Source organism: Homo sapiens, chromosome 5 (assembly GCF_000001405.40).
Source record: "Homo sapiens chromosome 5, GRCh38.p14 Primary Assembly".
Lineage (NCBI taxonomy): Eukaryota > Metazoa > Chordata > Mammalia > Primates > Hominidae > Homo > Homo sapiens.
Genome location: NC_000005.10, coordinates 97,020,243 through 97,037,618, shown reverse-complemented (window position 1 = coordinate 97,037,618; position 17,376 = coordinate 97,020,243). Strand labels below are relative to the sequence as shown.

At 37.4% G+C, this 17,376-nt stretch overlaps 1 protein-coding gene across 3 annotated transcripts in view; it reads right to left on the bottom strand.

The window, feature by feature from the left end:
• Positions 1-105: 105 nt before the first annotated feature.
• LNPEP (leucyl and cystinyl aminopeptidase) overlaps positions 106-17,376 on the bottom strand; it is a 101,434-nt gene continuing 84,163 nt past the window's right edge. For 2 of the 3 annotated variants that reach the window (NM_005575.3, NM_175920.4), the window contains exons 14-18: positions 15,135-15,319; positions 12,937-13,098; positions 10,862-11,002; positions 9,805-9,886; positions 106-9,217 (exon numbers count right to left, since the gene is read on the bottom strand). In NM_005575.3, the coding sequence (NP_005566.2) occupies positions 9,086-9,217; positions 9,805-9,886; positions 10,862-11,002; positions 12,937-13,098; positions 15,135-15,319 (702 nt within the window). In that variant the 3' untranslated portion in view covers positions 106-9,085. The remainder of the gene's footprint in view (positions 9,218-9,804; positions 9,887-10,861; positions 11,003-12,936; positions 13,099-15,134; positions 15,320-17,376) is intronic. The other variant, XM_047417177.1, reaches the window with a different exon arrangement.

Here is a 17,376-nt window from a genome sequence, read left to right as displayed (position 1 = left end):
ACTAACCACAGAAGACAATGAGTACAGGAGCTGCCCTGGTAGAGGTCATAACCTAAGAAGAGATACCACTTTATATATACATTAATCCAAAGAGTCCACACAATGTTTGTATTTAAATACTTTTATTTTCATTTCACAAAAAAAGCAACAGTGTTTGCAGCTACACATGCCTTTCAGTCAGTGCTGGTCATATGCAAAACAAGTTATCAGAAATATAAAGAAAAATAAGCCTTTTCCCTTTACAAGTGAAACAACACAATTTGCATATACAATATTATATATACATATTTTCAAAATGTTTCACAAAAGACAGATTATGATACAAATTTAGAATTCCACCCACAAGCTCAGACTCAAGGAATTGAAGATCTCTATAGGTGTTTAAATATAAAAATGTAATACCTTTACAAGTTTCCAAGTAACTACTTTCCAAAGTATTTGAAAGAGGCTATTCTTCACAGCAACATGGAACACTTGGCTTTAATCAAGACAGCTGTAAAACTAAGTTTTGTCTCAATGTGAGTTTGTTGATTAATGCAAATGCTCCAATTATGCCATAATTCTCATTTTATATACACATACATACACAGCGTATTATTGTACTGATGGTTTACACAGTCCAATTTCTGGAGCATTTCCTTCAGCTAAGCCATGACCTTTACTTCCTTTGAAGTATTTTAAATTAAGAACTGTTCAGAAATATCACTAATGACTACCATGACTAACTCCAAAAAGGTGCCCTTTTTTCTTTTATTTATGATCAAATGTAAATGTGTCATGAATAAACTTATTTTTTTCTATGGCAGCAGGTATAAGTAATAGCAAAGTATAGGCTACTTTTTCAACACTAGAATCTGAGAGTTTGATATACAGTATGTAACATTTCTTTGCAAATTTTCTAGGAGTTCTATCACTCAATGTTTCCAAAATAGTAATATGGCAAATCTTCAGCATGGAGTAGTAGTATCAGAAATGGGAAAACAAACAATGCTAAGAGGCCTGAAGGAAGGGAGGAGAGCAGAGAGGGAGGGAGGGAGGATGTGTGCCCATGCATTTTCCCTGATGCAGACAAATGTGGAGTTTTAACATTTACCATATGGTAGATGAGGAGACAGTGTGATATAAGAATGCTTAAAGCGAACATACAGGTCTGGATACATGATATGCACACAAAATACAAGGCTAATGAGGCAGCAATGGCTTAAATTTGTGAATGCCAGTGAAGAAAACACCTAACAGTATAGGCACTAAAGACAAAATGGAAAGCACACAATGGAGAACGGAGGAGAAAGATGCAGTCACACAAAAGACCTCTGGGTAAGAAAGGGCCAACTTGTCTTGCCACATGTGGGGGATGAAAGATAGAAAATTCCTTTTGGATTTAGTTTTGGGGCTCATGTTCTATTCATCAGAGCCATGTCAATAACTCGAAAGGGTCATTCCAAGACACAATTTCTACCAGGTACACAAGCTATGCAATTGATGGAATCATAATAGACTTCTATAGATGAATCAGAAGTCCAGGCCTCAAAAAGAAGCTACTCTTAACGGTTTGCAAATGCGTTCTAGACAGCACTCTTATTGGCTTATCAGCTTCGCCGGTTTACCAGTTACTAAAAGATATATGAGCAATGAAGTTTAAACACAGCTTTATTCAATATTGTCCTCTTGCCTTTCTAGAATTTACAAAAGCACAGGTCCCTTTTCACTACCTCATTCAATCTGAATCAACATAAGAAATGCTGGATCTAATTAGCTTTCACAACTCAACCATAGCTGAGTGTCTTCTCCTGTCTTATCTGCTGCACACCTGTTGCTATTAGTTACATTAATACACTGCTACACCTTCCAGCCAGATGGCAGGGATTTAGTAGGTCTTTATTTTTGTTAGGTATAGTCAGACCCCTTGCAAGGGACTAAGTGTTAAAGGAAAATAATGGCGGAAGAAAGAAGCAAATGATATATATGCATCTACACACTTGCATCCTTAATGGAATAGATCCTAGAGAATGAAATAAAATAACCACAAAATAACTACACTAGCTACTGCTAAGTGAGGAAATATGTAGGAAAAGAAGTGAGCTGTCATATTATGAAACTCGACTTTCATTAGGTCCCTACATAGCCATGCAAAAGACTACAAAATGAAATAAAGATATGAAAACATATTAAGAATATTCCCCTACCAAAAATAGAAATCTCTCTAAAACAGACAAGTAAGTAAACAACACACAACTATTCTACTTCCTATTGCCGACACAGGCAATAAGGAAAGGGGAGGATGGGAGATTTGTCATACACTGATCCTCGATTTTCATTAGGTACCTATATATCCATGCAAAGGACTAGGTACAAAACCAATAACATGAAACATTTATATACATCTTTAAAAAGTATAGACACTGTCCTTTCCCCCTGACTATTACCCACCCAAAGAACCCCTCCCCATAAAAAAAAATTAAACAATAAAAAACCCAAGATATGAAACTATTGCCCCTGTAGGCAATGAGGGAAGGGAAACAGGAGAGTTATCATACGTCTGGACCTCCATGTTTCATTATGTACATCCATGTCCCAGCAGAGGACTGGGTACCACATTATATAACACACAGAATGTAGCAAATATTTATATACATTAAAATGTGTGTGTATAGTATATAAATATGTGTGTTCTTGTGTGTATATACACACACATATACACTCAGACACCCCCAAAAGAAACCAAACATCTATTCTACCATTGCCCCCTAGGCAATGAGGGATGGGGAGTATGGGATATTTTTCATAGAGTCAATCTCAACTTTATTACTATTAAGTACCTAAGTGGTCATACAAAGGACCAGATTCAAAATGAAGTTAACATCAAAAAGGAGCAAAACATTTATATACATTAAAAAAATTATATATCTTGCCTTTTCCTCTCAACAATCCCACTCCTCATTAAAACCCTCAAAAGCAAAAAACCAAAACCCAAGCCCTGTAGTGCTCACATACTACTTGCTTGTGTATACAGGCTCTGAGGAAGGCAAAGAATATTTACCACACTCTCGGGTCTGGGTCCCTCATTACATTTGATTCCTACAACTCCAAACAAAAAACTGTGTTGAGAGTGAAAGAACAACAATAACAACAACTAGCAAACTTTTATATACATTAAAAAAAAGACAAACCCAGAAATTCCCCACCTCCCCTACCAAAAAAAAAACAAAAAAACAAAAAAACAAAATCCCTTAAATAACTACTCTACTGGCCATTGCCAAGACAGGCAATAAGGGAAGGGGAGAAGGGGAGATTTTTTCATAGAATGAACCTCAATTTTCATTACGTACCTAAGTATCCATGGAAAGGCCTTGGCACACAATGAAGTAACAGGAAAAAGGAGCAAGAACATTTATATACATTTCTAAAAGTGCACACCCCATCCTCCTGGAGATAGGCAGATGGATAAAAAAGAAAAACCATCTATACTACTCTATAATTATTGCCTACAGAGGCAATAAGGAAAGGGGAAAAGAGGAGATTTTCATACATCCGGACCTCCACGTTTCATTAGGTACCCGTAAGTCCAAGCAATGGACTGGGTACAGCATGAAATAATACAATATAGTTAATGAAAAGTATATATACATTTTTAAAAAGGATATATTCTGCCTTAGACCCCTCCCACCCCTCAAAACTTAAAAAAATCCAAACTACTTTAAAATTATTGCCCATATACATTAAAAGGGTAAAGGGAGAACAGATTGTTATACATCCATAACTCCATGGCTCATTAGGAACCTACACATCCAAGTGAAGGACCGGGTACCCAATGAAACACTATAATAAAGAAATAAAAATATGTACATACATATACAAAAGTATATACCCCAACACCCACCAAAGAATCCCTGAAGCTAATCAACTACTCTCTTAGACACCTGCCCACACAGACAATCTAAGGGAAGGGCAGAAGAGGAGAGCTGCTACAGGCTGAACCTCAATTTTCTTCATATATCCATGTAAAGGACAAGGTAAGAAAGGTAGTGACAGAAAAGTAGCAAAAACATTTATATACATGTTTAAAGTATATACTCTTACCTTGAAACCTCTCCTAGCAAAAAATTTTCTCTCTCCTAGCAAAAAATCTTCAATAAACCCAAACTACTCTTAAGTATTGCCCACATGGGCAATAAGGGAAAGGGAAAAGAGGAGACTGTTATACATCCGGAACTCCATGGTTCATTAGGTACCTTTCAGTCTGGGCACCCGATGAATTAATACAATGTAGTAGTAAAAACATGTATATACATTAAGTGCATTTTCCTACCTTCCCCGTCCCTCCCCCTCACCTCAAATACGCCACTTGACAACTACTCTGTTAGCTACTGCCCAGCAGTCAATAAGGGATGAGGAGAATGGGAGACTGTTATACATCGAGATCTCCACATTTCATTGGTACTTTCACATCCATGAGAAGGACACAGTGTGAACCAAATTAGTAATACAATGTAGTAGCAAGTTTATTTATATACATTAAGTACATACTCCACTCTCCCCCACACCCCAAAACAAAACAAACTACTCTATTAGCTATTGCCTAAATAGGCAGTAAGGAAAAGGGAAAAGAGATTTGTCATACTCTGAACCTCAATTTTCATTAAGTATATATGCATCCATACAAGGAAACAAGTATAAAATGAAGTATAAAAAGGTGGCACAATATTTATACACACTTGAAAGAATAATATACAACCCCAGCCCCAAGACTAGATCAAAACAACAGCAACTAGGACTACTCTGTCAGTTATTGTCCATGCGAACAATAAGGAGAAACGCAAAGGGGACATCTGTCATGCTTTTGGACCACCGCGTTTTATCTACACGTCCACAAAATGGATGAATGAAATACAAAATGAAATAACACAAAATAGCAAAAACATCTGTACACACTTTTAAAAGAATATAGCTTGCTCTCCTCTCAACATCACCACCTTCTTCCAAAGAAGGAAACCAAATAACTAGTCTGTAGCTACTGCCCATACAGGTAAAATGGGAAGGGTAGATGAAATTTTCATAGGATGATATATCACTCTTCATCAGGAAAAAAATATACAAAATGAAATAATATAAAAACTATCAAAAACATGTATGTACATTTTTAAAGTATATACTCCCAAAAAAACCACTGAAAAAAATCGATCAACTTTTCCATTAGCTGTCACCCACACAGGCAATAAGGTTAAGGGAGGAGATTTACCATACTTTTGAACCGCTACTTTTCAGGTAGTACTTAACTGGCAAAGCAGGGAATGGAGCACAAAATAAAAGAATGCAAAAACAAGCAAATATATATATAACTTAGTTTTTAAAAATACAAATGGGATGAAGGGGGAAGGAAGCTCTTTAAAAAGAGATTTAATTCCAATAAATACAAAAGTAACAAAGGCATAGGTGAGAAGAAAAGCTATGTCATATCCATGGCCTCAGTTTTTAGAGAGGCCTAAGTAACAAAATCCACATCTAGTTTTGCAGCCCAGGAAATGCTGTCCTTGGAGGTGGCTCATCTCAGATGTATTTGCCTTCCCTGAAGCCCCATGAAACATGGGGATTATGTGAATGTTTAGCAATCTGATGGCAGATTATGGTTCCAGGTACTTTGGTTTAAATAGACTCTTTTTAAAATCCATCTCAACAAACTGTCAGTAATCCAACAAAATCAACACTTAACTCTTTTTTTTTTGTTTTTTGTTTTTTGAGACAGTCTCGCTTTGTCACCCAGGCTGGAGTGCAGTGGCACAACCTTGGCTCACTGCAACCTCCGCCTCCTGGGTTCAAGTGATTCTCGTGCCTCCCAGGTAGCTGGGATTACAGGTGTGCACCACCATGCCCAGCTAATTTTTATATTTTTAGTAGAGATGGGGTTTTGCCATGTCGGCCAAACTGGTTTAGAACTCCTGGCCTCAAATGGTCTGCCCACCTTGGCATCCCAAAATGCTGGGATTACAGGCATAAGCCACCGCGCCCAGCCAACACTTAACTGATTTCTTATTTCCTAATAGAAAGGATTCTGTTTGGTATCCTATAATACTGATGCAGCTTGATTTGCTCTGTACACCCAGGAGTCTTCTGACAACTCTTGTGTTCCTGTGGTGGCTAATGTCCCACAAAATGGAAACACATATGGCAAGGAAAATTAAAGTAGAACCTGTGATAGTAAGAAAGTTCATGAATGCTGAAACAATGACAACAAAATTTCATTTAAAGAGACTTAAATAAAACAAGATGGAGGAAGGCCCAAGCTTATGGTGAAGCTGATACTACTTGCAGTTTAATATATCTAACCATTTTATATTAACAGAACAAACTGGACTTATCTAATTCCTACATTCATAACTTTTTTAGATCTCCAAAGCATAAACATTTCTTCCACAACTCAAGATTTCCAATTCTTTTTTAATAATCTAGTATGATGACCCTTTTATATTCAAGTAGATCTCTCTGCAATGAGAACACTTGTTCAACAAGTACTTGTGTCATGAATCTGTGTGCTTAAATAAAAGAAGCATACTGTGACTTCTGTGCTTCAGTCTGAGTTCTCAGAAATACACTGGCTAAGACAATGTTTTGAGAAGATAAAACTTTGAAAGCTACCATTATACCTATTACACTACAAGTTCTACCTCTCATTTAACCTTACATTCCTGACGTAGTTTTTAGAAGTCCTATATAGATGGGTTAGTTCAACATTAAAATTATGGAATTCTGTGGGAAAAACTGAGGCAAGGCCTACTAAAACTACAAATAATTAAGGTAAGGGCAACAACATCAAAAAAACTACAACTATTATGGATCTGGTATTATGGGAATGAACAGCCTTTGAGTAATAAAGATAGCAATGGATCATGAGTTATCTCTTTTTCAGGCCAAGTTTTGATAAAGTTTTACTCATAACAATACCCCCCACACTACACACACACACACACACACACACACACACACACACACACACACACACAGAGAGAGAGAGAGAGGGAGAGAAATGATATAATTCAAGACAAGATTTGCCATATGCAGAGTTAACTAACATACATTATAGGAGCGATGTCAAGAAGCACAGGTAAAACTGAAGAATCTTAAGTGATTTTGAGAAGTTACAAAATTTAAATTTTGTATCAAAGTGGAATTTAGTACCACATGGTAAAAAACCAGCAACGACAACAAAACTCTCAAAAGTTTAGTATTTTTCCCTCACTCTAAAAATATAAAAACACATTAACTTTCACTATCAACTAAATTATCATTCATTTAACCAAAGCACAAGAATAAAGACTTACAATCACTTCAGTTGAATAAGACATATTTAGATGATTCTGTGATTCTCAGGATATAATATTTTCTACTCTAAAACAGATAAATTTTAGAAAAGACTAAATTGGGGAAAACACACTAGGATTAAAGAAGACTATTTTTTTAGCTTACCAGCCTTTTAAATTTTATTATATAAAAATATTTTCATAAAATAAAATATAATTTTATTCACAATTCCATACATTCTAACTTGATACCTGCCGAATAAAAAAAGGGTGACCTTTCCCACTGTCTGACTCTGTGGAGTGTTTTAAGTGCTCACAAATGGGTAAATACCCTTTTTATGTACATAGAAACTGTTTTCAAACAAAATATAAAGTTCTCAAGAATTATTAGGAAGAAAGCTTTTCTCCTAAGAATCAAAGAAACACAACAATCTAGGTATAAGTCTGCATAGCTCAAAAATTCAAGTACAGTATTTCTCTTTCAGAAGGAGTAAAATGCCATACAGTTTCGGACATCCTCCCTCATTTTTCTTCTTTCCTTCTTTGACCACTCCTTTTATGTTAGTTTGGACACACAAAAAAAGAAAAACTACAATTTTTAACTAAACAAAAGCACTATTTTTGATAGTGAAAAAAATTCAAAGCCCACCATACTAAACACGAATTCAAGTTACTCCTATCCCACATTCTCTTTGTTCCTTTAAGGTACTATGGTGAACTTCAAATAATTGTTTTTCAATTTCTCAAAGGCTCTGTTTTAAAATATGCTTCTAATATGCTACACTATCATATAAAATGAAAATTCACACATGGGTATGATTCAGAGAGAAAGTTTCTATGATCTATGATGCCAAAAGGCAACTTAAATTGCATTCTTAGTGATAGTGATAAAAGTCACAATGAAAACCACTGGTGTTACCAAAATGCTTGCCACGAATGTAGAAATACTAACCTAAAGTATATCTACGGCAGGGAGTGATAAAGGTGTACAGATCTGGGGACTATCACCATTTATGAATAAAATAATTATAATTAAAGCTAACTCAGTTTGGAACAGTTTCCTATGGTAACGCTATAAAAGATGAAAAAGAAAGTCTTAAATATTCAAAAAATTTAACCTTTTGGCCTTGTTTAGCTTTTCAATACAACAAAAATTTTAAAAATCTGTAGCACCTGGCTATTCGGCAGGAAAAAAACACAATAGTTACAGACATTATTTAAACTTTTTTTCAGAAAAATAAAGAATTAATCAAAACCCCAAATCAAAGTAGATCTGCACACCTGAGGTCAGTTCTTACAGTGCATGCTTTATTGTCTTCGTTACCATATTCTTCAGAGCTAACTTTGTACCACATTCCAATGCCATCTATCAATAAGAAGCAACAGATGGCTGACAAACCAGCGGCCTGAAGTGATGGCGGCTCTTAGGGTAGAACTTTCCTTGTTTTACTGTGTCAGTAACTTTCTGGATACTGAGGAATAGAACAGAATTCCAAAACAGGGTTTTTGTCCCCATCTGTGTATCTTCAAAGTAGAAAAATTACTCATTGTTTTTGTAGATGGTTGGCATTTAGGTGAATATAATTTTGTAATAAATAACTACATACTGCCCAAAGACACTTCAGAAAAGATGGATGAAAAATACAGTCAGGCCCTGAGCTAACTAGAACTCCAAAGAGTGCAAACAACTTGGCAGCGATCCTGGCTTTACCTTGGCTTTTGCAAAAGCGGCAGAGCCCAAGCTTACAAGCTCTCTGAATGGGCAACAAAATGAGGTGCGGTTGTGCATGCTACAGCCACCATGTGAGACTTTTGAGGTTCTTCTCCATCCACTGGATATTCAACTGAATGACTTCCAAAGCCTCCTGGACACAACGAAGCCGGAAGGTTGCCTCTGACTGATTTTCAAAGAATGCCTGAACCTGTAAGTTTCACACAGAAGAATTTCAAAAGAAGAAAAGGACGATAAACCTCAGGTAACCCCAGCTTTTAAAATAAGCTTTAACTTAGTGATGGCTGTGCTGCTATCTTGAAAGCAGTAGAAAGAAGTACTTTAATATTCAAGGTATCTACATGGAGTTCCCAATCAAGTATGGTGATATCTGAAATGATTTTAAAAAGGAAATCTTTTTACTCCCACACAGATACATTTTTCTAACTTAAAATGGAACCAAGGAGATGTTTAAGTAACAATAAATAAAGTAGAGTCCAAAGGCTTGGTGCTATGAATTCACCCCAAGAATGCAATTCTTCCAAACAATTTTATGACCACTTAAATTATTTGTATTAGGGAGACAAGGGAAGAGAATGGAATCAGATTTTTTCCTCATTATCATATATGCCACCCTCTAGAAGTAATCACAATGCAGAATCATTAGTACTGATAAAGGAAGACAGAGATAAGAGAAGGAATTAGCATGAAAATCCACCATCTCACTAAAACTGAGCAGCCTGGTCCGGGTGTGCGGAGGGTTGCCCAGTCTCTGTATTATCATTTTATAAAACCAACCTCAGATAAATGTGTCTTTGTTGAAAACAGGTAAGTTGATCCAGCAACAATATTTTGTATGGTATAGGACCCCAGAGGGAACCTGAAGAAACACAAAAACAAGAGCAAAAAGATTAGGCAGCTGCTGGTAAAGCGTTGTTCCTGAGTGCAAGGAAAAGTCTTTAATGCCAAAGCCAGAGTGGAATCCTCCTCCCGGAACTGCAACTGAGGAAACCGGGGTAGCCCTATGCATACTTATTGTCGGTGGGAAGGAAAGGTGGGCAGAAAAAGGGAAGAGTTCAGAACATGCAGACAATTAATCCGCTTAACATTGTCGAAGATCACACTGTACACCCAGAAATGCCATTATTGATTTAAAAGAGAGAAAGAAGCAAAAAACCTACATCTGCATCTAGCTGAATGTGAGTTCTTAACTGATGCCTTGGCAATGCAGAGGTATTTTCCTTTTTGTTTTTTTTTTTTGAGACGGAGTCTCGCCCTGTTGCCTAGGCTGGAGTGCAGTGGCACAATCTCGGCTCACTGCAAGTTCTGCCTCCCAGATTCACACCATTCTCTTGCCTCAGCCTCCCAAGTAGCTGGGACTACAGGCACCCGCCACCATGCCCGGCTAATTTTTGGTATTTTTAGTGGAAATGGGGTTTCACCGTGTTAGCCAGGATGGTCTCGATCTCCTGACCTCGTGATCCGCCCATCTCGGCCTCCCAAAGTGCTGGGATTAAAGGTGTGAGCCACCGCGCCCGGCCATACAGAGGTATTTTTCAATATGCATAGCTAAATGGTTGCTATGAAATAGTCTGTAGCCACGCTGAGCTAAGTAACCTGGTGCCAAGCAAGGCTAGGCTTAATTAGAACTTAGATGGAATGCTACTGTTAAATGATTCATGCTATGGAATTATGTTAACAAATGTGAAAATTTCCGGATGTTTCAGTTAAACTGTCATGGAAGTATTTTTCCTCTCACAGCAAATCCTAACTTCTGTGAGCCAAAACACTGGGAGCTTTTTTCAAATGCACAACTTGAGAATACTAAAAGTTAATAATTCTCTGAGAAACTTACTTCTGTACAAGCTTATTCCAGTTCTCTTTGACAAAATCCCATGCCAGTAAGTGTCCAGGAAAATGTCGACCCACTGTTCTAATGATAAAAGACAGCTTCTGTGTTCGGAAGTTATCTCCATTCAGGCTACTTTTCATTAACCTGAAGAGCAAAGCAGATTTAGCCTCCAAAATTATTATTCATGAAGAAGTGATGACTGAACTTAAATTAAAATTAGTATGGTTTCCTAATTAAAGCTGTGTAGCAAATTGAGAAATAACTGTTGCATTAGTCTACGGTTGATCTATAGATTGAAAATGTCATTTTTTTTAAATGAAGAAAGAACTCACCAATAAAATAGGCATTTACCTATATTGTCACATGACAATAAATAGTTTTTAAATAGTAAAAACATTTAGGAAATAAGTTCTGGTAGAATTTATTACAATTCGGGAGGTGGGTATTTTTTTCTGGTAAAAACCTTATTTGATTTGAATGGGCAGGTTAATTATATTACTATTCTTAAAAAAAACTAGGTCATTTGAATTATTTGAAAATTAGGATACATTTCAGAATATACTCTTATTAATGTTCGTAGCAAACATTTACTGACACTATGTACTAAATAATGTTCTAAGTCCTTGACACAACAATGCTATAAAGTAGGTATTTATTAATACTACCTAACTCAATTTTATAGTTGAAGAAACTGAGGTTATCTAATTGACCCACAGTCACACAGTAATAAATACCAAAGCCCGACATCTGAACAAAAGCAGTTCTCATCTACTATGCTATACTATCTGTTTATAGTGAGAAACCACGCCCCACTCCAAGACTGTGGCAGTATTTTTAGGAGAGAAAAAAACAAAAGCCCAACAAAACGTGATGGATTAAATAAATTATGATAGGGCCATACTACAGAATATTATGAACCCATAAAACACTTTAGTTTTTTTTTATATATAAAGCAGGCTTCATGAAGTGACATGGAAAATCTCATAGACTGATCATTCACTAAAAAGATGGTCACAAAACACTGGGTATGGTATAAACCTAATATGGTTTTTAAAATGCAGTTAAATATGTAGGTATGTGTGTATGTATGTACGTACATATGTACAAATATCCATTCCCACAGATGAATACAAAGACCAGGACTGACACTGTTGTTAACAGAGAAAACGAGAATGGAAGTGAAGGATCATGAGAAATACTTTCATATTTTACTCTATATTCTTAGGTACTGTTTAAATTCTTTATCATGGGCATTCTTAGTGTATTACTAGCATAGTTTAAAAACAGTGATTTTTCTCTATTTGCTTAAGTCAGAGGCTGGCTAATACTTTAAAGAAAATGACTATTTACAGCGTATCTTTTGGTAAGTGGGTCTGGACAGGTACTGAGGACATCTCTGGGACACTATTAAGATTTATCTGAGCAAAATCATACAACAGAAGTAATGAGACCCAGAAGCCTCCTTCTATCCTCAGTGCGACTTCTAACACCTGTGCTCTCTACAGCAGATACCTCTATATTCCTCTTGGCTATGTAGAGCTCCTCTACCCCACCACTGCCTGTTCTTCCTGTCAGGAGGCCCTACTTACTGCCCTACCTTCATCCATATGACACTCCTACTTCTGGGCCTTCATCACTACATATTAAAAAGGAAAAGTCTGACAAATAAATTCATATGAACGTAGAACCTAGAAGGTTTAATATGTGATTTTTTTTTTCTGAAATGCCTACATTTTTAAAATGACAGCTTGCACAAAGCAATGCCTTGGTCCTAAACTATGGAGTACCAATTGTGGTGTATAAGACAACATTCCAAGGGGAGGAAGACTTTTTGAGCAAGGAGTAGGAGGGGGCTGTGACTCCTGACATCTTGTAATCCCTTTTGGGCAAAGGATTTTCTGCTTGTCCATAAAGATAAAGCCCAGCACCTGTAGTCTCCTCACCACACTGTCCAACTTAGGCCTGGCCTGTAACAGAAGTGGGGAAAAGAGATCCCCTCAAAAATGAGCTCCTGACCAAGAGCACAGTGTTTGTATTCTTTTGGTTTCTGTATATCATATTCCTCGGTGATTTCATACCAGTAAAGCTTCCGCACATCCTCTGAGCTGGCAAGTGCTTCTAGTATTTTGTTCTTCTCTGCTTCAGAGCCTATAGAAATGTATTTGCCCAAAAGGAATGACCAGCCTTTGTCAGTTTTTGCTCCAACTTTGAACACAGTTGTCATGACATCAGTAGGTAGGCTGTAAGAGAGGTGGTCAAACATGAGAATAACAAGAAAATATTCTGAATACAAAGGCGAAGAGTTGGCTGTGGTGGAGTTTCTGGTGTGAGGGTTGGTAATAATAACAAGTTTGAGTACACAATTTAGGGTTGAGAAAAAGTTTAATTCAGTGACTGCTATCTTCCTAGTAGTGTGTCTATGGATACATCAGTTCAATTTAATATTCACAGAGTACTCACAAAGAACCAGGCAGGCGACTGGCTGGACACTAGGGAGCGGAAAAGGAATGAGAGCCTCTGTCCTCTGAGAACTCACAGGCTACTACGAAGTATAGAGCAATAACTATATGCATTACAATTCAGTGTGATAAGTTTCATGGTAGAACTATAGCAGTAAATGGGGTGCAGGGAGAAAACACAGTCTACTGCCTTTATTAAGATCTCAGAGCTGGGAAAGACCTCAAAACGTTATCCAAATCCTCCACCCCAACTCTTCATCTGATGCTTGAATCTTCTCTCCATAATGCACGGTAAGGAGCTGGAGAGAACTAATTACCCCCAAAAGCTTTTCTGTTAACTGCTAACTCTACCTGCTATGTTTTATTTCTAAATTAAGAGACTTGTTTATCACCTCACACCCATTAGGATGGCTGCTATCAAAAACCCAGAAAATGGCAAGTGTTGGCAAGGATGTAGAGAAATTGGAATGATGGTGCAGCTGCTGTAGAAAACAATATGGCAGTTCCTCAAAAAATTAAAATTAGAATTACCATATGATCCAGCAATACTACTTCCAGGTGTATTTCCAAAAGAATTGAAAGCAGGGTCTCTAGGAGATATTTGCACACCAATGTTCATGGCATTATTATTCACAATAGCTAAAAGGTACAAGCAGCACAAAGGTCTATCCAGGAATGAATGGATAAACAAAATGTGGTATATACATACAATGGAAAATTATTCAGCCTTTAAAAAGAAAGAAATTTTAGCCAGGTATGGTGGCTCATGCCTATAATCCCAGCACTTTGGGAGGCCTAGGTGGGCAGATTTTCTGAGGTCAGGAGTTCAAGACCAGCCTGGCTAACATGGTGAAACCCCGTCTCTACTAAATATACAAAAATTAGCCAGGTGTGGTGGCGGATGCCTGTAATCCCAGCTACTCCGGATACTGGGGCAGGAGAATCAATGGAACCCGAGAAGTGGAGGTTGCAATGAGCTGAGATCGCGCCACTGCACTCCAGCCTGGGTGACAGAGCAAGACTCCATCTCCAAAAAAAAGAAAAGAAAGAAAGAAAGAAATTTTAATGCATGCTACAACATGGAAGAACCTTGAAGACGTTATGGTAAATGAAATGAGCCAGTCACAAAAAAGCAAATTCTATATGACTTTACTTATATGAGATATACAGTGTAGTCAACCTCACAAAAACAGGAAGTAGAATAGTGGTTACCAGGGGCTGGTGGGGAGAGGGAGTGAGGAATTATTCAATGGGTACAGAGTTTCAGTTTTGCAAGATGTAAAAGTTCTGAAAATATAGTACACAATAATGTGAATATGCTTAACACTACTGAACTGTACAGTAAAAAATGGTTAAGACAGTAAATTTTATGTTATGTGTATTTTACCACAATTTTTTAAAAAGTCTTGTTTGACACCGCATGTTCTCACTCATAGGTGGGAATTGAACAATGAGAACACATGGACACAGGAAGGGGAACATCACACTCTGGGGACTGTTGTGGGGTGGGGGGAGGGGGGAGGGATAGCATTAGGAGATATACCTAATGCTAAATGACGAGTTAATGGGTGCAGCACACCAGCATGGCACATGTATACGTATGTAACTAACCTGCACATTGTGCACATGTACCCTAAAACTTAAAGTATAATAAAAAAAAAAAAAGTCTTGTTTGAGAATGCAGATACATAGAGTTCACCTACACTGACACTCAGTTTTATAACATTTATGATCCAGGATGAGAATACCCTGGATACTGTATATGATGTGAAATAAAGAAAAAGAAGATAATTCATCTGAGTAGAGGTATACTTCACCTTTGAGTTCCATTGGATGCCATCCAGTCATCAAACAGTTTCATGGCAGTAGTAGAGCAGTTCCCCAGGTTGTGGGTGCAAGCAAACTCTAGCAGGGCTGACCGAAGCTCTCGCATAGATGGAGTGCCCTCATCAGTCCAAGTTTGTTGTTGAATTTGGTTTTGAAGTAATTTAAATACCCTAGTCTAGAGAGACAAAATAGATTATAATGGCTTCATAATAATTAGGACAATCAGAAAAAAAACAGGACAATTACAGCCAGGTGCAGTGTCTCGTGCCTGTAATCCCAGCACGTTGGGAAGCTGGGGCGGGCAGATCACCTGAGGTCAGGAGTTTGAGACCATCCTGGCCAACACGGTGAAACGACATCTGTAGAAAATACAAAAATTAGGCAGGCATGATGGTCGTGCCTGTAATCCCAGCTACTCAGGAGGCTGAGGCAGGAGAAACACTTGAACCCAGGAGGTGGAGGTTGCAGTGAGCTGAGATAGCATCATTGCATGCCAGTCTGGGCAACAGAGCAAGACTCTGCCTCAAAAAAAAAAAAAAAAAAAAAAAAAACAAAAGACAAAAAACAAAAAAAACCCCAGGACAATTAGATCTCTTTTCCCCAACATTTATCCAATGAGGAAAAAAAAAGGCATAGATATTACTCATTAAATATCAACTGACATATGAAACCCACATACGGCTGGGATGAAACCATTCAATAATAAGGCTATGCATAAGGCTGCTATAGCTAAGGGGGACTTTTAGTGATGTTAACTCAGAAAAAAATTAATGACTTCTGTGCAGTAGGGAACCTTTATGCTGCATATACTCAGCTAGAAGTTATTTTCCTGCCAAAAAGTATCACTTATAACCACTGCTGGAAGGATGTCAGGACTTCCTGACCTTGTGACTTTACAATCTATAAACCTATAAAGCAATGAAAGAAAAATAAACTTCTTTATTGATAGTTAATGTTTAAATGTTTCTCAATCCAATATTAAAGGTATATTTAACATTATTAACTAGTTTGATGTTATAACAAATTAACCAAATTAGCAAGAAAATGAGACCTGCAGGGAAGAATAGTTGTTTATAGCTTATTTTTTCTCCTAAGTTTTTATTTAAAGAACTTTCAAACCTACAAAAAAAGATAGTACAACACCCATACACTGTTCATCTAGATTCAACAGTTTTTTAACACTCTGACACTTGCTTCATTTTCAAGTGTGTATAACACACATACGCACACATGTTTTTCTTGTTTTAGCTGAACAATATAAAAGTGATATACAGATACGATATTTCATTTATAAATACTTTGGCATGCAACTCACAGATATCAGAACATTCTCTTACAGAACCATAATACCTTATCACACTGAAGAAAACTAATAGTTATTCATTAATATCATCCAATCTAGTCCATTGGTATTGGCTGTCATTGCTAAACGTATACTTGCGGTATTAAGGTACTAACAGACGCCTTTTTCATCTCTCTCCAAAATAAAAACACCAAACCTGTTAATACCATGTCGAAGTATTTCCATTCTGCAAGTTGTGCATGGCGGGTGGGGGGTGAGGGCACATGATATTTTAAAAAGCATCATATGCAATATGCTTTTATGAATACCACTAGAAAGAATAAAAATTCTGATATAAAAAATGTTTTTAGGTATTCTTTTTTTTGTTTTTGAGATGGAGTCTTGCTCAGTTGCCCAGGCTGGAATGCAGTGGTGCGATCTCAGCTCACTGCAAGCTCTGCCTCCCAGGTTCACGTCATTCTCCTGCTTCAGCCTCCCGAGTAGCTGGGACTACAAGCGCCCGCCACCACATCCGGCTAATTTTTTTGTATTTTTAGTAGAGACAGGGTTTCACCATGTTAGTCAGGATGGCTCTATCTCCTGACCTCGTGATCCACCTGCCTCGGCCTCCCAAAGTGCTGGGATTACGGGCGTGAGCCACCATACCTGGCCGTTTTTAGGTATTCTTTAGAAAACCTTCATGGCTACATAAGAAGGACCAAAATGAAAAAAATTCAACAGATACCCCCTCTGAAGGAATAAGCACAGGAAGATTTCTTCCTGCTGGTACTTCTTTACCTCCACCACCATCGTGGCATCTCATCTCAAGTAATCATGTACCACAGATGACCACAAGCAAAACCCTTAACTTCAGAAGTTTAGCTCAAGTTCTTCACAGAACATTGCTTTCTTCCTTTCTTTTAGGTATTGACAGTGAGTACCACTGAGTA